Source organism: Homo sapiens, chromosome 16 (assembly GCF_000001405.40).
Source record: "Homo sapiens chromosome 16, GRCh38.p14 Primary Assembly".
Lineage (NCBI taxonomy): Eukaryota > Metazoa > Chordata > Mammalia > Primates > Hominidae > Homo > Homo sapiens.
This window is the reverse complement of record NC_000016.10, coordinates 19121893-19144352: the sequence shown is the minus strand read 5'-3', so window position 1 is coordinate 19144352 and position 22460 is coordinate 19121893. Positions and strand designations below refer to the sequence as shown.

General features: G+C 46.4%; 1 long non-coding RNA gene across 1 annotated transcript, besides 3 other annotated features; it reads right to left on the bottom strand.

Annotated features, from left to right (window-relative positions):
* Window positions 1-7968: 7968 nt before the first annotated feature.
* On the bottom strand, window positions 7969-17507 carry LOC124903657 (uncharacterized). Its single transcript, XR_007065011.1, has 2 exons — window positions 17068-17507; window positions 7969-8799 (listed from the first exon to the last, which is right to left on the bottom strand). It is a non-coding gene; the product is annotated as an uncharacterized LOC124903657 (long non-coding RNA).
* Window positions 13192-13486: an enhancer, noted in NCBI's record as "tiled region #12181; HepG2 Activating non-DNase unmatched - State 4:PromP, and K562 Activating DNase matched - State 5:Enh". NCBI's record gives its function as "activates a minimal TATA promoter and a strong SV40 promoter by Sharpr-MPRA in HepG2 and K562 cells {active_cell/tissue: HepG2 | K562}" and the evidence as "EXISTENCE:reporter gene assay evidence [ECO:0000049][PMID:27701403]".
* Window positions 13192-13488: a biological region, named in NCBI's record as "Sharpr-MPRA regulatory region 12181".
* Window positions 13409-13488: an enhancer, noted in NCBI's record as "active region_10528". NCBI's record gives its function as "activates an Ori minimal core promoter by ATAC-STARR-seq in GM12878 lymphoblastoid cells {active_cell/tissue: GM12878}" and the evidence as "EXISTENCE:reporter gene assay evidence [ECO:0000049][PMID:35858748]".
* Window positions 17508-22460: the final 4953 nt, after the last annotated feature.

The following is a 22460-nucleotide window of genomic DNA, read 5'->3' as shown; positions in this document are numbered from 1 at the left end:
ATATTGACTTTCAGAAAGAGCACAAAAAATATGGAACTCTTCGAGTTTGAGAATCTTACTTTGCAAAGCTATGCTAATGTTCTCGAAATCATCTAATCAAATGATACTTGAAATTAGTATACATTTTTTCATTCAAAGCAACAAAAAATCATTTTTTAATCATAGCAATTTGAGAACATTCTTTCTTCACAATGGAAGCATATAGGACCATTAAGTTGTACAATCCCAGGAGGTGCCATTCATATAGCAGCCCGTATTCATAGCACCTTCTAGAGTTGTGCAGTGCCCAACCCACTCAGCCAGATATTAAATCGTGCAAAATTAAACATGTTTATCTGGTCCTTCATTTCCTCATCCACAAAGTGAGCTGGTTGTTCTAGAAAAATTCAGAGGTTCCTTTTGAGACTGAATAAGATACTGTGACAAACCATGTATATTCGCAAGGAGAATAATAAATAGGCAAGAATATAAAAGTGTCTTATGCCTTCCCAGGAAGGCTTGCTTTGCAAGGTGCAGAATAGAGATCGTTCTGAAATATTCCTCGTAATACAGCCTTTTCGGTTATAAAAACACCCTTGTTAACAATCCAGAACACTCAGGAGCTTAATTTCTTCAGAAACAAAGTACGTCCTTATAGTCACATAAAAGTGTTCCCTCTTCCTCGTCAGACTAACGGCAAACGGGGCATTGATCCCTGAAGGACACTATTTATGGGCAGTGCGCCTGCTAAGAATTGGCATGACCTTTTTTCCCATATCTGTCTAGTCCCCAGAGGGATAGGCCCGCTTATTACATTTTCCCAGCCGGGAGTTTAGCTCCACAGGCAACCTCCTGTCATTTGTTTGTCTGATGGGTATTATTTCTTCTAAGAATCTAATTAGGATCTTTTAAAGAGTTCAGCCTGGGAGTGAGGGAATTAAATATGACTCAGAGTGTGCGCTGCCCAAAGCCAGGCGAAAAGTCAGATGATCATTCGTTGATTTATTCAGATATTTATGCAGTCCGCAAGCCCTGACAATGTACCTTTGTGTGTGTGTGCCAACCTATGCTGGGAGTTGAGGCAAGTGGACAGGAATGGAGGATCTCTCTCCACCTTGGAGGAGTTTAGCCACATATCACTGATAAATTCCACTTAAAGGGAAGGAATTGAACACATAGCACACAATGTCATGTGTCCACCAAGTCCTCTTTTTTTTTTTTTTTTTTTGAGACAGTCTTACCCTGTCATCTAGGCTGGAGTGTAGTGGTGCAGTCATGCCTCAATGCAGCCTTGACTTCCTGGGTTCCAGTGATCCTCCCACTTCAGCTTCCCAAGTAGCTGGGACCACAGGTGCACACCAGCACTTCGAGTTAATTTTTACAGAGACGAGGTCTTGCTATGTGGCCAGGCTGGTCTTGAACTCCTGGGCTCAAGGAATCGCCCACCTTGACCTCCCAAAGTGCTGGGATGAAAGGCGTGAGCCACGGCACCTGGCCTCCAAGTCCTCTTTCGTTTCCTTCTTTTTTGGGCCAAAGGAAAGCTGCATTTCACAGCCCCCTTGCAGTGAGGTGAAGTCTCGTAACTGGTTCTAACCAATGGGCTATAGCAGAAGTGACCACTGTATTCAAGAACCCAAGTGCAGCTGTCAGCTCTCCTTTACCCTGTTCTGGGGACCAAGAATGCAGAGGTTGTATGTATTAACATCTGTCAGCCTGAATTTCTTTGGTCGGACAAATTCACCTTGGTTTTGTTTAATGTTAACATTAGGATAAGTGGGTGAAGCGTATACTGGAATTCTCTGTACTATCTCTGCAACTTTTCTGGAAATCTAAAATTATTTAAAAATTAAAAGTTGGCTGGGCGCGGTGGCTCACACCTGTAATCCCAGCACTTCGGGAGGCCAAGGTGGGTGGATCACCTGAGGTCAGGAGTTCAAGACCAGTTTGGCCAACATGGTGAAACGCCATCTCTACTAAAAATACAAAAATTACCCAGGCATGGTGGCACATGTCTGTGGTCCCAGCTACTCAGGAGGCTGAGGCAGGAGAATTGCTTGAACCTGGGAGGTGGAGGCTGCAGTGAGCCAAGACGACGCCACTGCACTCCTGCCTGGGCAACACAGCGAGACTCTGTCTCAAAAAAAATTAAAAGTTGTTTAAAAATCAGTGCGAATGTTTTCCAGGTATCTACTCTGAAGGTTGCATAAGTGAAGCAAATCCGTGTGTAGGGTTGTCAGAAAAAAAAAATACAGCAGTCCCTAGGCCAAGGAAAAACTACAGCAATCCCTAGGCCAAGCCTGGAATAGACACAGAAGTTGCAAGCATGAGTATGATGTGGGCGCTGGTATCTAGCATCTCCCAGTCCAGTATGAGTCTCCAGGTATATCCCAGCCCCCGGCGTAGTGCCTGGCACTAAGCCACAGCACCATTACTGTTTGTTGCTTGAATGAGTGGGTGCACGACTTCATTCATTCAAGGTACACTTAATTAATTACCTACTGTGAGCAAGACCTTGTTCTAGACACTACAGATGCAAACACTGTACGTTAATTACAGTGAACAAAACAGACAGACACTCCCTGCCCTCATTATAATTATCTACCAGTGTTGGGGCAGGGGAAATGAAAACACAAAAAAGTGGCTGGGTGTGGTGGCTCACGCCTGTAATCCCAGCACTTTGGGAGGCTGAGGCAGGCGGATCACCTGAGGTCAGGAGTTGAGACCAGGCTCTCCAACTTGGCAAAACCCTGTCTCTACTAAAAAATACAAAAATCAGCTGGGCGTGGTGGCAGGCGCCTGTAGTCCCAGCTATTCAGGATGCTGGGGCAGGAGAATCACTTGAACCCAGGAGGCAGAGCTTGCGGTGAGCCAAGATCGCACCACTGCACTCCAGCCTGGGTGACAGAGCAAAACTCTGTCTCCAAAAAAAAAAAAATATATATATATATATATGTGTATATATATATGTGTGTGGGTATATATATGTATATATATAAGCAAATATATGGGTATTCAGATAGTGATCAGTACTACGAGAAAAATGAAGCAGATGAGGAAATTTGGGAGTATGAAACAAGGTGGGCAGTGTGATTGCAATTTTAAAGAAGGTGTCAGGGAAGCCTCGCTGGGTGACAGTTCAGCCAAGATCTTCAGGAAGTGAGATGTGTATAAAAGTATATCCGAAGGAATAAGAAGTGTCCTGGCAGCCGTAAGTAAATATCACAGCCTGGGTGCCTTACCCAGAAGACACTTATTTCTCATAGCTCTGGAGGCTGGAAGTCTGAGATCAAGGTGTCGGCAGGTTTGGTTTCTCCTGAGGTCTCTCTCTGGGGCTTGCAGGTGGCCACCGTCCCGCTGTGTCCTCACATGGTCGTCCCTTGCTCCTGTACTGTCTGAGTCCTAGTCTATTCTTATGAGGACACCAGTCATATTGGATTAGGGCCCAACCATGTGACCTCATTTTACATTAATTACCTCTTAAATGTTCTATCTCCAAATACAGTCACAATTCTGAGACATTGGGGTTTAAAATATCAACATAGAAATTTTAGGGAATGTAATTCAGTCCATAACAGTGAATGAATGAATGAATGAATGAATGAACCAGTCTGCTGCTTTGCTTATGTGTGAGAGAGTGAAGGCAGTCAGAGAAACATGGGACAAAAGGAACAGGGGATGAGGGGCAAAAAGCCACATCAGGAGAAAAAAACAGAGATTTGACATGTGCAGTTTTTCAATTCCCTCTTGGCCAATTCAAAATATGTTTTTCCCAGCTCTAACTCTTAATTATTTCCGGAAACGGTTTCATTAACTGCTGTCCTGCAGCAGGATGCTATGAAGAAATCTCTGAACTTAGAGGCAGAAGATGTGAGTTCTGCTCTGCTGGGTGACTTTGGGGGAAGTCACTAACCTCTCTGGGCCTCCTTTCAATGGGAATGGAAATCCCTACCCCCTCTCAGAACTGCAGGAGAAGTTCAGGGAGGTAACTGGCAGGCAGATGAGGGCTTTGTAAACAGGGAAATGTAATATAAATAAAAACCTAAGGTATTGCTGTGAAGCTTGCTGTGAAAACCACTGCAGACAGCTCATGCCTGGGGCCCTCTGGTCATTTCGAAGGGAGCTTATTTATTAAACTCCAGCTTTTCCCTGGTTGTTTTCTTCAGCCCTTCAGGATGATCAGAGAGCTGGGGGAGTGCAGGGCTGGGGAGAAGAAAGAAGAAAGGAGAAGAAAGAGAAATAGATTCCACCTGAAGCACAGAGCTGGTGATTTTTGCCTCATCGAGGATTCTTGCTGATATTGACCAGCAAGATGTTGACATTGATGGGAGCTGACATTGATGGGCACCCTCCTCATTAGGCTCTGTGCTAAATCCTCCCCAGGCATCAACTCACCGAATTCCCATAACACCCTCTGAGGTTAGGCTATAATCTACCCATTTTGCAGGTGAATAAACTGAGGTTCAGAGGCATTAAGAAATTGCCCAGGGTCAATTAAGAGGCAGAACTGAGCCCAGATCTGTCAGCTACTCTCTTAACCTTGACCTACACTTCCTCATCATTCCTCAAAGTGTCCTGGCATTTAGTAGGTACTAAAGACATGTAAGATCTCTAAATTCTCTAGTTTGAATCCCAGCTTTGGCGTTTTCCAGCTGTGTGAAGTTGGACAAGTTATTTTCTTTCTCAGAGGACAAAAATCCCTGCCCTGCCTACCTGTCAACTCCAGTACTTGCCAAGTATGAGTTGGAGGCTGTTACTTAACCTCTCTGAACCTCGATTCCTGTAGCAGTAACGTGGGATAATAACAGTTGATATTCCAAGGGTAAAGCACACAGCCTAGTGCCAGGCACATAGAAAGCGGTCAACCAGGCAGCTATCAATTCAGTACAGGGGTGACAACATGGCACCTATATTCCATCCAGGGTAAGTAAGAAGAGCAGAGATGAAAACATAGACCGGAAGGATAAATTTTAAATGTTCACATCTGCTGATTTCAGAACTTAAGATCAAGAAAATAATTATCTCAGCTAAAGATGTGCAGTTTTCCTTTGACAAGAAAACAAGATATTGGGTGATGCATTGCGTTTTCCTTATTGCTTTGCCAGAAAGCTCAGAGCTAAATCTAATTCTTATTAAGAGTAACTGCATGAATCTGGGTTTAGCCTTCCTTTATATGATATGTATTTTTAAATTTCTGTTCTATTGACTTTACTGTTCCTGTAACATTTAGAGTTAACTTTAGAGAAATTGTTAAATCTAGCTGCTTGAAAAACAGGCGAGGTTAAAAATGATCAATACATATTATGTGGTTATAGTTTAATGCATTTGAAATCAAAGTATTACCCATTACTTGAATTTTAGACAAAGATAAAAGGCACAGAGGCAGGTCCAGATCTATAAATTTAGGTTAAAATATTGTTTTAAAGAAAAAAATAGAAGGCAACTAGATGCCAGAGATTAATTTCAAAGTGGAATTAGTTCACATGAAGCATTTAGAGGAAAAAAAAATTGCAACATCTTCCCCAGAGCTGCCCAGTCCTGTTTGCAGGCAGGGAGTCCCCTTGGCCCCAACCAGGCTGACACTTAGCTTTTTTGAGTCCCAGCTCTCAGAGGAACAGAGGCCTCCTCCATTTTCCCATGCCGGGAGGGATTTCCTGTTTATCTTTCCAGATCGTGTGTCCACATGCACGAGATGTGAAGCCGGGGCAGAAGCCAAGATGATGAGAGCTATTTCTGCAAGCAAGTTCAATATTAAACATGCAGGGAATGAAGGAAGTTTACATGTAAATCAAATTTAGTCGTGTCCCATTGTCTGGGGTCTCCAGAAAATGGGGTGTGTGTGTGTGTGTGTGTGTGTGCACACACACGTGCATACACTTATATCCAAATATGATATTCTTTTTCTTTTTTTTTTTTTTTGAGATGGAGTCTCACTCTGTGGCCCAGGCTAGAGTGCCATGGCACAATCTTGGCTCACCACAACCTCCGCCTCCCGGGTTCAAACGATTCTTCTGCCTCAGCCTCCCAAGTAGCTGGGATTACAGGCAAATGCCACCATGCCCAGCAAATTTTTGTGCTTTTAGTAGAGATGGGGGTTCACCATGTTGGCCAGGCTGGTCTCAAACTCCTGACCTCAAGTGATCTGCCTGCCTCGGCCTCCCAAAGTGCTAGGATACAGGCCTGAGCCACTGCGCCTGGCTGATATTCTTTCCAAATACTGTAGACCATGGGTGTTCAATCTTTTGGCTTCCCTGGGCCACACTGGAAGAAGAATTGTCTTGGGCCACACATAAAATACACAAATACTAATGAAAGCTGATGAGCTAAAAATAAATAAATAAATATATCTCATAATGTTTTAAGAAAGTTTACAAATTTGTGTTGGGCCACATTCAAAACCATCCTGGGCTGCATGCAGCCCACAGGCTGTGGGTTGGACAAGCCTGCTATAGACTGTTACAAGGATTCTCATTTTGGCACTGGTGTAATGGCCAAAAGACTGGAAACAATATAAAATTAATGGATGGGAACTGGTAAAATGATACACCCACATGATGGGAAAGAATGCAGGTATTCACAAAGAAAGAGGACACAGCCACTTTGGAAAATAGTTTGCAGTATTTAAAAGCTGAACAAAGGCCGTGGTTTCTCCAGTACTCTTAGAACAAACCCCTAAGTCCCTCACACAGTGTATAACAGGATTTCCCAAGCTAGGCACTACTGACACTTGGGGGCCAGATTATTTTTGTAGTGGGGGCTGTCCTGAGTGGGGGGTGGAGGACGTTTTGAAGCCTCCACCCACAAGATGCCAGTAGCACTTCCCTCTGCAAGTCGGGGCAACCAAAAATGTCTCCAGGCATTGCCAAAATGTCACTACATGCAACAACATCCATAAATCTCATAAACTAGTTCTTAGCCAAAGAAGCTAGACACACATACGCCAAGAGTACATATTTATAAATCCGTTGTGGTTGAGGGAGGGGAGGGACCAGCAGGGGGGTTCTGGAATAGAGGTAACATTCTGGTTTTGGATTTCAGTACTGATTACTCAAGTGTTTTTCACACTGTAAAAGTTCATCCTGCTATGCAATTTTCTATAATTATGATTCAATAAAATGGTTTTTAAAATGAGGCATATTGAGGTGGCTAGATATGGAAAGATCTCCAATACGTATACGTGGTGAAAAAAAAAAAAGCAAGTTGATTGCATACTGTAATTCCGTTTGTGTTTGTAAGGGATGTATCAGAGCACCCGAGAAGCACACACCGCTTGCTGATGTGAGTCCACGTTTTTAATCACTGCCAAGCGCGCCAGCCCTCATGAATAAATGCAGAAGTTGTCCAGACCCTACGACTCAGCACGTCTGGTCACCAGGGATATGTCCTAGAGAAGCTCCTGCCTGTTGCCCAAGGGCACATGTGCAGGAAGGCTCATTGCAGTGTTGCTGGAATATCAACTGAGGCTCAGAGAGGTTAAGTGACTTGCTAAAGATCACACAGCTTATGAGTAGGAAAGCCAGCAGCTGAGCCCAGGTTTATTTAAACCCAGAGCTTGAGCTCCTAACCACCATACTGTATGACTGCTACCTCCACTCCCTGCTGTACACTGGCTGGGTGGGGTGGTACAGACAGGAACAACTTGGCTAGCAGGCTCGAATGGCATCCAAAGATCATTCCATCCATACTTCACTTAACTAATGAAAAGTTTGTGGGTATGGCATGGGCCTCCTCCTCAGTTCTCGGGGCACACTGGAGCACCCCAAGCCCTTTCTTCTACCATTCCTTACTCTTGTCAACCCTTGGGTCCCTCTCCTGCCCCCCACCCAAGGTCTCACTTCACTGCAGTCAGAGTTCACATCTGGATGGGGAAAGGGAGCTTTCCGTCTTCAGGGTAGAAAGAGGGAGGAGTGAGTCTTTTCAGTGACCTCCAGAACCAAACTGCACAGACTGATTAGCTTACACCCCTCAAGAAGTGGACCCTGAAACAGGAGCTGGGGTGTGAGTAGTTTATTTGCACAGTGATTCAGGAAACACCAGGAGGGAGGGGACAGTGAGAGACAGGGATGGGAACGGGAAGGCAGCCAAGGAAGGGTGTGTCCCCAGGCATGTTCCTACGGAGGGGGCTGGGGGGCAGGTGGCAACTGAGGTTCAGCTCTGCTGGGGCCAGGGCAAAGCATGCATCCCAGAGCTGTCCCATGGAAAGGGAAGGGAGCTGGGCGATTATCCACCAGTCCCATCCATGGTTGGTTGAGCGCTGCTCCCTGCGGCTCAAACACTCCAGCAATGTCTGCCTTGTCCTACATGTGGGTGGAATGTCCTGTCACAAACAGATAAGAACTCCCGGGCCTGAGCTGCAGGTGTTCATAGGAGGCCACCTTCAGAGTGAGGACGTGAGTGCAGTATGGATCCACAGGCTGCAGGGGAGGCACCTCTGCCATCATCTTTGTCTGTCTCTTTGCCAGCCTTGAATTATACCACAGGTTGCTCTCCTTTGATTGCCGCCTTGGAAAAATGACGGCACAAAGGAAAAGAAACCCACCCTCCCATATACTGTGGGTTAACCTGAAATCCCCCCAAACTCCACCGTGGGCCCGGCAGCCCCCTCCCTCAGCCCCAGCACAGTGGGAGACTAACGGTGGCAGCAAGCTCAGGCTTGTACCCAGAGCCCTTGCAGGAGGAAGCCAAGGGTGCCTCTTGCCTTTGGGAAGGGAGAAGCTGTGAGTTGATTGAAGTGATCAAAGGCACCTCCATCCTTTACAGATGCAACGAGCTGCTAACACTTTCCAAGAGGGATTAAATAAATGAACATCGGAAACTCTGTCCCTGGGCGGAAAAGAAAAGTCATCCGCAGGCATGAACACACTCTAGAAACTCTTGCTAGCATCTGAGCTGTTCCCCTGCTTTCTCTCCTTCTGATTTTGGATCAACCACCAAAAAAGGCAAATTCCTTTCCATACTGGTAATGATGGTGATAATGATAATAACAGTAACAATGATAGCAGTGGCCCTCACTCCTGAGACTTGTAAATATCACTTTGCATCTAGCAACTCATCTCATCTTCGCAAAAGCCTAACAAGGAGGCCGAGCGTGGTGGTCTATGCCTGTAATCCCAGCACTTTGGGAGGCCCAGGCAGGCAGATCACTTGAGGTCAGGAGTTTGAGACCAGCCTGGCCAACGTGGTGAAACCCCGTCTCTACTAAAAATACAAAAATTAGCCAGGTGTGGTCGTGCGTGCCTGTAATCCCAGCTACTCGGGAGGCTGAGGTAGGAGGATCACTTGAGCCTGGGAGGTGGGGGTTGCAGTGAGCCGAGACTGTGCCACTGCACTCCAGCCTGGGTGACAGAGTGACACTCTGTCTCAAAAAAAGAAAAAAATGCCTAACAAGGAGACTCTAAAATTAGCCCTATTTTGTCAGTGAGGAAATTGAGGCTCAGAGAAAATGAGTCAGGGGTCACAAACTCAAATGCCTACAGGGGCAGGCAGACAAGATAAACCAGCAAGTCAGGTGGATATCACATATAGATTGTGATTCATGAGGACTATGTGAACTGGAGATGGAGCAGACAGCCCCTCCTGAGCCCCTGCCTCGCCACTGCCACATGGGAACATGGGCACAGTGTGACCGATCTTATTTTTCAAGTAAAGACAGAAAATTGGATTTGAATGTGATATTTTCCCAGTTTTATAAGCAGCTGAAATCAGTTAGAATTAGGATTAGGTCCCTCTCCTTATAACAAAATAACAGGGCTAAGTAAGATAAAAGTTTCTTTCACACACCAAAAAGAAGTTGGAGACTGGGCGTGGTGGCTCACATCTGTAATCCCAGCACTTTGGGAGGCCGAGGCAGGTGGATCATTTGAGGTCAGGAGTTCGAGACCAGCTTGGCCAACATGGTGAAACTCTGTCTCCACTAAAAATATAAAAATTAGCTGGGCATGGTGGTGGGCACCTGCAATCCCAGCTACTCAAGAGGCTGAGGCAAGAGAATTGCTTGAACCCAGGAGGCGGAGGTTGCAGTGAGCTGAGATCGCACCACTGTACTCCAGTCCGGGCAACAGAACAAGACTCCATCTCAAAAAAATAAAAATAAATAATAAAAAGTTGGAGTCTGGGCACTGTGGCTCACACCTGTAATCCCAGCCCTTTGGGAGGCCAAAGATGGGAGATCATTTGAGGCTAGTTGTTCAAGACCAGCCTGGGCAACATAGTGAGACACTATCTCTACAAAAAATTTTTAAAAATTAGCTGAGTATGGTGCTGTGTGCCTGTGGTCCCAACCACTTTTGAGGCTGAGGTAGGAGGATTGCTTGAGCCCAGCAGTTTGAGACTGCGGCAAGCTATGATGGTGCTGCATTTTAACTTAATCACCTATTGAAAACCCTTACTTCCAAATATGATTACATTCTAAGGTGCTGGGGCTTAGGACTTCAATATACGAATGGCAGGGAGGGGACACAATTAAGCCCATAACACTGTCCATCTCCCCAATTCACCCAAAACTTCCTTAAGGGTGGGATTTATGTCTGGTCCAAGAAACTAGTGTGTTTTTTTATAGCTGAGCACATGTACCATTCATGGAACACATGACATACATGTTTTAGCTTAGTAGGTATTTAATGTAGTAGAAAAATATGTATAACTAGCACATTAAACCAATAATTTCACAGATAGAGTTTGGAATAAGGCTAGAGAAAAAAAAAACAACAACAAGCAACTATCTTAGTCCATGTGAGCTGCTATAACAAGATACCCTAAACTGGGTGGCTTATAAACACAGAATATTTCTCAGCCAGGCGCAGTGGCTCACACCTGTAATCCCAGCACTTTGGCAGGCCGAGGGGGGTGGATCACCTGAGGTCAGGAGTTCAAGACCAGCCTGGCCAACATGGTGAAACCCCATCTCTACTAAAAATACAAAAATTAGCCAGGCATGATGGCACACGTCTGTAATCCCAGCTACTCAGGAGGCTGAGGCAGGAGAATGGCTTGAACCCGCGAGACAGAGGTCGCAGTGAGCCAAGATCTTGCCATTGCACTCCAACCTGGGCAACAGAGCGAGACTCCATCAAAAAAAAAAAAACAACAACAACAAAACAGAAATGTATTCCTCACAGTTCTAAAGGCCGGGAGGTCCAAGATCAATGTGCCGGTAGATTTGTTGTCTGCGGAGGGCCCACTTCCTGTTTCACAGATGGTGCCTTCTCGCTGTGTCCTCACGTGGCAGAAGGGGTGAGGGAGCTCTCTGATGCCTCTTACAGAAGGCCACTAATCCCTTCATGAGAACTCTTCCCCCATGACCTAATCACCTTTCAAGAGCGCCTTGTATCCTCACATTGGCGATTAGGTTTCAGCACATGCATTTATGAGGGACACATAAGTCCATGGCAGCAGTGTTAAGGAGTAAACAGCCCGGGCGCAGTGACTCACGCATGTAATCCCAGCATTTTAGGAGGCCAAGGCGGGTGGATCACCTGAGGTCAGGAGTTTAAGACCAGCCTGGCCTACGTGACAAAACCCCGTCTCTACTAAAAATACAAAACTTAGCCAGGCGTGGTGGGGGGGCCTGTAATCCCAGCTACTTGGGAGGCTGGGGCAGGAGAATTGCTTGAACCTGGGAGGCGGAGGTTGCAGTGAGCTGAGATCACGCCATTGCACTCCAGCCTGGGCGGCAAAGTGAGACTCCATCTCAAAAAATAAAAAAAGAAGAAAGAGTAAACAAATTGTCTTGCAGGAGGTACCGTGAGGTGGCAAAGATACTCCCCAAGGGCTGGAGTTGGGGAAACCCAGCACTAAGAACCAGCTCTGAAGTCACATGACCCTGAACTTCTTTCCTGGAGCTCCTGCTTGTTGGCTGTATGACCTTAGGCAAGTCACTCAACCTTTCAGAACCTCATTTCCTCAATTGTATACTGAGGATTCTAAATACTCCAGCCTCCAGCCTCCAAACATCACATCAGCCTTGTGAGGAAGAGCACATGGCTCTGGCACAAGATCACTGGGACATCAGTTCTGGCTCTGCTGTTTCCTGGCTGTGTGACCTTGGGGAAATTACTTTACCTCTCTGAGCCTGCTTCATCTTCTGTAAGAAGAGCATTAGGGTACCTAACTCCTAGGATGGTCACAAGGATTCAATGAGTTAATTTCATCTTTTGAGTGGTGTCTGGTAGTAGTGAATGTTCAATCAAAATCATTATTATTAGTCACCCCAAGGATGGCTCTGATACAAGCTGAACTGGTCCCTTCCAGGGGCTTTGATCATGGGCACTACCCAGCTCCAGGCTAAGGCTGATGTCAGATTGCTACATTGGAAGTCCACATCCTGCCATTGTCCCCAACACCCACTGTCTCAAGGCAGGCAGATGAGGTCATGGGAATTGATGTTTTTGTCCTGAAGGGATAGGCAGGGGTGGATGGGCAACCCCTCTCTCCCACTCCTGATTGCTAAGTGGGGAAGCTTTGGCCTGAGTTTCTAGGGGTGTCCAAAGATCTTTACTTCTTTCCTAGACATTTCTGTATACTTGAACTTTTTACAGTGAGCATATATCACTTCTATGATAAACAAACAAACAAACAAGAAAGCCATTTTCATTCTTGCAAAACCAATCCAGGCCTGGCTCACACCCTTCTAGATTCCCAGAGTCACTTTCTGACCTATCTGGGTCACTTGTTCCTTGGCCTGACTCTCTCTAAACACAGAGCCGCTGTGTTCCAATAAAATTTATTTACACGAAGAGGCTGCAGGCAGGATTTGGTCCATGGTCCACAGTTTGCCCTGACCTAGGATACTGTCTGGAACACAGTAAGTGCTATACAAGTGTTAGCTATGAGTGAATGTGTGTGACTCACAAGCATGTATATCTATGCGTGCATGTGTGCACATGTGTATCTATATGGGAATCATGCCTCTGAATGTGTATTGTGTCTGTGTGGGGGATCTGTTTAGTCCTTCTATAAAAACAAAACAACATGCTCGTACCAGCCAACATTTCAACGCAGCTACCCCAAGACTTCCTGCTTCTATTCTGGTGAGAAAGGGAAGCTTCGGGCGCCAACCCCCAGTGGCCTAATGGAAAGGGAAGCTTCGGGAAAAGCCAAGAGAAGAAAGAGCTGGTGTGTCTCTGTCATTTTCATCTGGGTTAAGATTGGAGGGAAGTCATCATTGGTGATTGTGCTACTGTAGGGCCGGCAGCCCACGCCTTCCCATCTGCTGAAAGGATGAAGTCAGTCCTCTGGGGGAAAAGGGGGTGGAGAGGGGACTCTGTAAAAATGAAAAAGGAAGCTTTTTAGGAGCTTTGAAGGAGGGGTTGGGGTAGAGGGAGAATGATTCCCTGCTCTTGTGGTGGGTGGCTTTTCCAGGCAGCTTGTAAACATCTGCTTGCTTGTTTCATTTTGATCTCCTGCTGTGGGACTTCTGAGGGGCTACTTCCTGTATGACTAACTTCCTTGGCTGGCTTTGCAAGGGCCAAGGAAATGCAGTGAGCGTTAATTTTGGAGTCAGCAGATGAGGGTTCAAATCCCTGTTTGCACTTCCTTGTTAAATGCCCTGGGGGCATATGATCTCGTCCCTCTGAGCCTCAGTTTCCACCTCTGTACATTGGGGCTCCTATTATAATAGTATTACCTCCTAGGACTATTGCAATGATCAAAGGAGAACTGTGTGTGTCCAGCATTTGTCACAGAGCTTCACTCTGTAAGTGCTCCCGAAGGTGACACCCTGAAACAGACCCCCATGGGCTAGTGTGCTGAGCTTCAAGATTTCAGAGAAGCCTTCCCTAATTCCCCCATGCTGCACTAGGTCCCTTTGACTCACAGTGTCATAAAAACTGGTTTCTTTCCTTCAAAGCATTTACCTCTGTTAGTTTCGTTTTTTGTTTGTTTGTTTTTTGAGACAGGGTCTCACCACTCTGTCACTCAGGCTGAAGTGCACGATCACGGCTCACTGCAGCCTCGACCTCCCCGGGTCGGGCAATTCTCCCCCCTCAGCCTCCCAAGTAGTTGCAACTACAGGTGTGTGCCACCATGCCCGGCTAATTTTTATGTTCCTTATAGAATGGGGTTTTGCCATGTTGTCCAGGCTGGTCTTGAACTCTTGGGCTCAAGTGATCCACCCACCTTGGCCTCCAAAGAAGTAGGATTACAGGCATGAGCCACTATGCCTGGCCCTCTGTTAGTTATTTAGTGCTCACTGGCGTGCTTATTGGCAAGTGGCTGCCTCTTCCAGCAGACTGTAAACTGCAGGCCAATAAGATGGTGTTTGCTCTGCTAACCACTCTATTATCCCCTGTGCCAGCACAGGGCCTGGCACATAGTTAGCATTCAATCATTATTCAGTAGGGTCCCAATGGGGTCTTCCAAAATGGGGTTATGATAGGCACTCTCTTCAGCATCCTGGTGTTACCCTGGCAAATCCATACGGGTCTGCCACAACCTCAATTCCTGCCTCCTCAAGAGAAAGAATTCAGCTGAGGGGCAGAAGGCAGAAGGAGAGACAGGCGAGTTTCAGAGCAGGAGTGAAAGTTTCTTAAAAAGCTTTAGAGCAGGAATTAAAGGAAGGCGAGTACCCTTGGAGCAGGGCCAAGTGCATGAAACCCTACAAGACAGAGATCGTGGCAATAGTCCTAGGAGGTGATACTTAACCTCTCAAGTGTCCCATTTGACCTTTGACAGAGGGTTTTATATGTTGGCCTACTTCCAGGGTCTCGCATCCCTTCTCCCCTGATCCTTCCCTTGGAGTGGGCTATCCGTATGTGCAGTGGCCTGCTAACATTTGTGGGGGTGGCAGTGGAATGTGCAGTGTGCTTACTGGAGTTATATGAGGTGTTCTTCCCTTACCAGCCTAATGTCTCTACAAGGTCATATACCAGTTAAACTCCGCCATTTTGCCTCTTAAAGCTCATGCTTGAGCCCATTCATCCAACTCCTAAGATCTTATTTGGAAGCTGCGGATCATCAGTTTCATGGTTTTGTTTGTTTGTTTGTCTGTTTTTTGTTTTTGTTTTTTGAGATTTGCTCTTTTTGCCCAGGCTGGAGTGCAGTGGCGCAATCTCAGCTCACTGCAACCTCTGCCTCCTGGGTTCAACCAATTCTCCTGCCTCAGCCTCCCGAGTAACTGGAATTACAGTCACCCACCACCACGCCTGGCTAATTTTTTGTATTTTTAGTAGAGATGGGGTTTCACTACGTTGGCCAGGCTAGTCCCGAACTCTTGACCTCAGGTGACCCACCCGCCTCTTTAACACATGGCTTTTATTGCCTCTGTAGGATCGTGCACACATCACTTTTGCTCCTTGCCCATTGGTGAACCAGTCACTTGGCCCTGCCTAACTGCAGGGGACTGGGAGATAGAGGGTTACTCATGCATATTCAGCATCTGGAAGGGGAGAGCTTAGACTCTGGGTGGTCCCACGAGACTGGTTTAGTGAGAGGAAGCCCAAATACACTTTTAAGCCTTGCAAAGTGGAGATCCATACTAATTAGACTGCTTTTGAAAACCAGGTATTTATCAGAGAAAAAAGAATCATCACAAGTCCATTGCTTAAAATCTGGAGCAGGGTTTCTAGCCTGCAGTTTTCTGCCATGCAAGATCCTGAAGGCTTCTCTTCTTCAAATGCCACAACCATTTGTCTCCAAGGTTGAAATATGTTTTAATGCTTTCATTTTGATAAGGATCGACAGTTGCCCATCAGAGGCATAGCTGCTAATTTGAGGAGACTAATGATTGAATAAACCATGAAGATAAAAATCATTTGAGAGATTTGGTCCTTAAAAGCATTTAGCCTGAGTCTGGCACGCAGTGGGACTCCTAGGGGTCTTTTTTTTCCCTGGCTTCATTAGAAGGTGTCTTGATAGACTTTATTTTTTTTAAGTGCCAGCCACTACACCTAAAGATGAGTTGGGGAGAGAGATTGAGATAATGTAGGCAAAACCATTGAATATTCATGAAAAGAGCCAGCATTTTGTGAAGACAGGCTGTATCTGACATATGTTATCTGCAGGCTACAAGATTAAAAGAAGTGGGGCAGCCAGGCATGGTGGCTCACACCTGTAATCCTAGTACTTTGGGAGGCCGAGATGGAGTATCCCTTGAGGCCAGGAATTTGAGAACATTATGGGCAACCGAGTAAGACCCCCATCTTTAAAAATAAAAATAAAATAAAATAAAAAGCCAGGCGTTGTGGCAGCACCTGGAGTCCCAATTACTCAGGAACCTGAGGCAGGAGGATTGCTTCAGCCCAGGATTTCAGGCTGCAGTGAGCTATGACTGCCCCACTGCACTCCAGCCTGGGCGACAGAGCAAGAAAGAACAGGGCACTCTCCCTCTGAATATTGAGGCGTTTCATTACTGAGAAGTTTCAGGATGACTCTGATGCCTCTTTTTTTGGTTTAACTGTTTCCTTCTCCTTGGGGTTGGGGAAAAGGGGAACTGCCAAATGGATGAAGCCCCATTGCCCACTTAGCAATTATATTTTGCCTTGTGTCTCTCAGCTGAAGAGCTCTCTCCTAGGATTTGGTCCCCCAGCACCACCATCACCACCCTTAACCTTTCTGTCTCAGCCACGTAGCAAACCTCATGCAAACCAGCTGGTGCTTCCACAACATCTAGTGGAGAGATTGCAGGTACTCTACTGAGCACTGCAGGTTCCAGAAGGGCCATCTGACCTAGGTCACTGGTTCACAACCCCAGCTGCACTCTAAAATTGTCCAGGGAGATGTAAACAGCTCCCATGCCTTAGCTGCATCCTCCTAAGTTCTGATCTCTCTGGTCTTAGGTGGGGTCCCAAGCATGAGTATTTTTACAAAGCCCCTTACCCATTGTTATGAAGCCAGGATTGAGAACAACTAGCCTAAGCTTTCTGCCCAGGAACTCAAGCAATGAAAATCAGACTGGGGAGAAAGATGACACACTTTAGAAGTAAGAATGAGATAAGCATGTGGTTGATGCTCTCACTGTATCTCTCTTCTGGGGACGCAACTACAACAAAAAGTCACAACCGCAGACCCATTCACAGTCCTGTGGGAAAGGAAGTTTGGTGGCAGGGAGACATCTGGCAGAGTGCCTAAGAGTGATTCCTTAAGAAATGGACTCACCTTCCTGTGGTTCCAGAAATGCTGGTGCATTCCTAAAAGAACACAGTCGACATTTAGATAACACTTCTCAGTTTCTCCATTTTACTTTTTGACTCTTCCAAGGAACCTATAAGAGGAGAGATTATCTCCTTCATTTTGCAAATGAAGGGATTGATGTCCAGACAGGTTAATTGATTTGCCCAGAAGAATACACCCAGTGACAGGTGGAGCTGAGATGTCAATCCTAACACTTATGGGGCATTTACTAAATCCTAAAACTTAACGCAAGTACGCAAGTATTAACTGAATAATTACAGAATGGTAAATTCTCTAATTACTTCTCACTTCTTTGACAGAGTCTTCAGCTGTGTGTTTGTGGTATTTCTCTGGCAGACTTTTTTTTTTCTTCGAGATGGAGTCTCACTCTGTCACACAGGCTAGAGTGCAATGGTGCTTATCTCGGTTCACTGCAACCTCTGCCTCCTGGGTTCAAGCAATTCTCCCATCTCAGCCTCCTGAGTAGCTGGGACTACAGGTGCACGCTACCATGCCTGGCTAATTTTTGTATTTTTAGTAGAGATGGGGTTTTGCCAGGTTGGTCAGGCTGGTCTCAAAGTCCTGACCTCAGGTGATCCACCTGCCTCAGCCTCCCAAAGTGCTGGGATTACAGGTGTGAGCTGCCATGCCTGGCCTCTGACAGACTCTTATTTACCCACTATACTCATTCTTTCTTCATCTACTGCTCAGGGCTGCTGTATGCCATGTGCCAGGCTCTCTTTCCCAGCTTCCCTTGCAGCTAAGAATGGTCATGTGACATTATTCTGGCCAATGAGATGTCAGAGGAAGTCTACTGAGTCCCTAATCCAGCAGTCCCCAACTTTTTGGCACCAGGAACCAGTTTCATGGAAGACAATTTTTTCATGGGCTGGGTGTGGGGGGAGGATGGTGTTTGGATGATTCAAGTACATGACATTTATTGTGCACTTTATTTTTCTTTTTATTATTGTAATACATAATGAAATAATTATACAACTTGTCATAATGTAGAATCAGTGGGAGCCCTGAGCTTGTTTTCTTGCAAGCAAAATCCTGTCTTGACCAAAAAAAAATACAAATTGAAAAAGTTAGCAATGCATGGTGGTGCATGCCTGTAGTCCTAGCTACTTGGGAAGCTAAGGTGGGAGGATCTTTTGAGCCCATGAGTTTGAATCTGCAGTGAGCTATAATGGTGACACTGTACTCCAGCCTGGGCAACAGGGCAAGACCCCATCTCTAAACAAGCAAACAAACAAACAGAAAAATGAACTGCTTCTATTTACTGCAGTGGCAGCCTTTTTATGCCAGATTTTCCTAGGCATCCATATCAGTTAGTTGTTGCTGAACAATAAACCACCTCTAACTCAGTGGCTTAAAACACGAAGTATCTGTCTATTATTGCTCAGAGTCTATGGGCCAGCCGGGTGGTTCTGCTGATCTGGGCCAGGACCTGCTGATCTTGGCTAGTTCACTTGAGTGTTTCCATCAGTCAGTGGTCAGGTCTATTCGGGCACTGGGGAGGAGGTGAGGAGGCTGGTCTAGGATGTCCTCATTCCCATATCTCCCAGTCGGCTGGCTGGCGGCTCTGGGGACAGGGTTGAAGGAGCCATGTGATCGCTCATCCCCCAGCAGGTGAGCCGTTCACATGGTAGCAGTGGCCTTCTAAGAGAACAATAAGAAATAGACAAGACCTCTTGAGGCCTAGGCCAGGAACTAGCACCATGTCCCTCTGCCACATTCGATTGATCAAAGAAACTTACAGCTGGGCGCGGTGGTTCACGCCTGTAATCCCAGCACTTTTTGAGGCCAAGGTGGACGGATCACCTGAGGTCAGGAGTCGGAGACCAGCCTGGCCAACATGGCAAAACCCTGTCTCTACTAAAAATACAAAAATTAGCCAGGCGTTATGGTAGGCGCCTGTAATCCCAGCTACTCAGGAGGCTGAGGCAGGAGAATCGCTTGAACCTGGAAGAGGTTGCAGTGAGCCGAGATAGTGCCACTACACTCCAGACTGGGCGACAGAGCGAGACTCCATCTCCAATAAATAAATAAATAAATAAATAAATAAATAAACAAACTCACAAAGCCCTTCCAGATGTAAGGGGTAGGCAAAAGGGCAACCCTTCTTGATGGAAAAGATTGCAAAATCACTTTGCAAAGGGCATAGGTGTAAGAAAACTGGAGATCAGAGACTATTGTTGTAACCAGTCTACCATAGTATCCCGAATAAAACCTTTTCATAGTGGAAAATGCCCTGGACATCAAGGAAGGAGATGAACAAAAACTGGGTAGCAGAGAGATGATCGGGGGTGGACGACAGGGAAACAGACCCTGCAGAGGAGAAAGAATGAGCTTGAGCAAAGTGAGCAGAGGAAGAGGTTAGAGACACAGATTATGTGAAAATGCCACTCTAGTTTTAATTATTTGTAGAGATGGGGGTCTCGCTATGTGGTGCAGGCTGGCCTCGAACTCCTGCGTTCAAGTGATCCTCCCACCTCAGCGTCCCGAAGTGCTGGGATTATTAGAATGGCATTTTCAGGCCATTCTAATAATTGCTTCTACACTGACGCGTACTGGGCGCTTAATCTGTGCCAAGCACTTTGCATGCAAAAATCTCACTTAATCCTCAATCACTCCTATGGGCAAGGTTCCATTATTAATCCCATTTTACAGATGAGGGAATCAAGATACAAAGAGGATTAGGTAACTTGTAGAGACACGTAGATAAGAAGTGCAGAACACAAGATTTGAAGACAAGTCTTTTTTGCTTTTGTTGTTGAGATAGAGTCTCACTTTGTTGCCCAGGCTGGAGTGCGGTGGTGTGATCCCAGCTCACTGTAACCTCTGCCTCCTGGGTTCAAGTGATCCTCCTGCTTCAGCCTCCCGAGTAGCTGGGACTATAGGCATGTATCACCACACCTGTTTTTTTTTTCTTTTCTTTTCTTTTCTTTTTGTATTTTTGGTAGAAACGGAGTTTCACCGTATTGCCCAGGCTGGTCTCGAACTCCTGACCTCAAGTGATCTGCCTGCTTTGGCCTCCCAAAGTGCTAGGATTACAGGCATGAGCCACCACGCCCTGCCGACAAGTCTTTGCATTAATGCACGCCACTGTCTGTCTCTAACTTGTCTCTCTGTCCCTACCTCTGGCCCCCTGCCCAGGCCTGGACCACTGCAGCATCCAATTCCTTATAGTCTTGCTCCAGAGCTTGGCTAACTTTTTCTACAAAGGGCCATAAAGTAAATATCTTCAGCTTTGTGAGCCATTTGGCCTCTGTCACAGTTATTCAGCTCTGCCCAGGTAGCACGAAAGCAGCCATAAACAGTATGTTAATGGACGTGGCTGTGTACCAATGACACTATTTACAAAAATAAATACTCAGGTGGTAGTTTGCCAACCCCTGTATAATCCACTCTCCACACTAGCCAGAGTGAGCCAAATTCAAATGTGACCTTGCCACTCCTTGTCTAAAGTGATTCAACAGTGCCCTCTGATCAGTTCAAACTCTCTGTGTGGTCTGCAGCTGCGTGTGTGCGTGTGTGTGTGTGTGTGTGGACTCTGTACCAGTGGCATCACCATTCCCTGGCAGCTTGTTAAAGAGGCCAAATCTCAGGACCTGCCAGTCATGGTGGCTTACGTCTGTATTCCTAGTGCTTTGGGAGGCCAAGGCAGGAGGATGGCTTGAGGCCAGGAGTGTGAGACCAGCCTGGGCAAGAGAACAAGACTCCATCTCTACAAAAAATTTTTTAAGTTAGCTGTGCATTCCTGTAGTCCCAGCTAGTCAGGAGGCTGAGGCAGGAGGATCTCTTGAGCCTGGGAGGTTGAGGTTGCAGTGAGCTATGATCCTGCCATTCCACTCCAGCCTAGGCAACAGAACAAGGCCCTGTCTCAGAAAAATAGATAAATAAAAAAGAAGGCAAGACCTGTTGAATCAGAACTTGGGTTTTTTTGGGGGGTTTTTTTTGGTTTGTTTGTTTTGTTTGTTTTTGCTTTTTTGAGACAGAGTGCCACTCTGTTGCCCAGGCTGGAGTGCAGTGGTACAATCTTAGCTCAGTGCAACCTCCGCCTCCCGAGCTCAAGCAATTCTCGGGCCTCAGCATCCAAAGTAGCTGGGACTATAGGCATGCGCACCACCCCTGGCTAATTTTTGTATTTTTAGTAGAGATGGGGTTTTGTCATGTTGGCCAGGCTGGTCTCAAACTCCTGACTTCAAGTGATCCCCCCGCTGAGGCCTCCAAAAGTGCTGGGATTACAGATGTGAGCTACTGCGCCCAGCTAGAACTTGCGTTCTAACAAGGCTCCCAGGTGATCTGCACACTCCAGCCTGAGAAGCTCTGGCTTCAAACTCCCTCCCACCTCATCCTTTCCATTGAATCCTCCTCCCCTCCTCTCCACCTGCCCCTACTTTCCAGCCAAACTGGAATGTTCTTTCATCTCTGCGTTCAATATATTCTTCTCCAGCCCAACTCCCTTCACCTGGCTAATTCCCACCTATCTTTGGATCTCAACTTAGATGTCACTTCTTCCAAGGAGCTTTCCTGAAAACCCTAAAGTGCACGAGGTACCCTTGTTTGGTTTTGAAAAACTTTCTCCTACCCAGCACCTACCACGCTGTACGGTAATGGGTTCTTTCATTGCCTGTCTGCCTGTCTCTGTGAGCTCATAAGAGAGAAGACATGTCTGTCTTGGCCACTTCTGTGTGTGTGTCCTCAATGCCGTCGGACAGTATTATTTGTTGAAAACCAAGCGAAACACACCCCACCAACATTCCCCTGGGCAAGTGCCCTACACAACTACTGTTTCTTTTCTTTTTTTTTTTTTTTTTTTTTTGAGATGGAGTCTCACTCTGTCGCCAGGCTGGAGTGCAGTGGTGCAATCTCGGCTCACTGCAACCTCTGCCTCCCGGGTTCAAGTGATTCTTCTGCCTCAGCCTCCCAAGTAGCTGGGACTACAGGCACATGCCACCACGTTCAGCTAATTTTTGTATTTTTAGTAGAGACGGGGGTTTCACCATGTTGGTCAGGATGGTCTCGATCTCTTGACCTCGTGATCTGCCCGCCTCAGCCTCCCAAAGTGCTGGGATTACAGGTGTGAGCCACCGTGCCTGACCACAACTACTGTTTCATCATGGCTGCAGGTTTCCCTGGGCTTCTACCTGGCTCTGGGGCTCTGAACAACCCTTAGTCTCCAAGATTCTATCTCCTGCTAAGCCTGGTGGTTTTTCGTATTAGCAAATGTTTACCATTTCGCAAGGGCCTGAGGGCCTAAGAGATTTCTGGACAAAATTCTTGAGCCACAGGCCAAGACGTAAATTGTGTTTGGGTATGTGTGGGGGAGCAGGGGTGGGAGAGTCAGGCAGAGAGGAGAGGTGGGGGCAGAA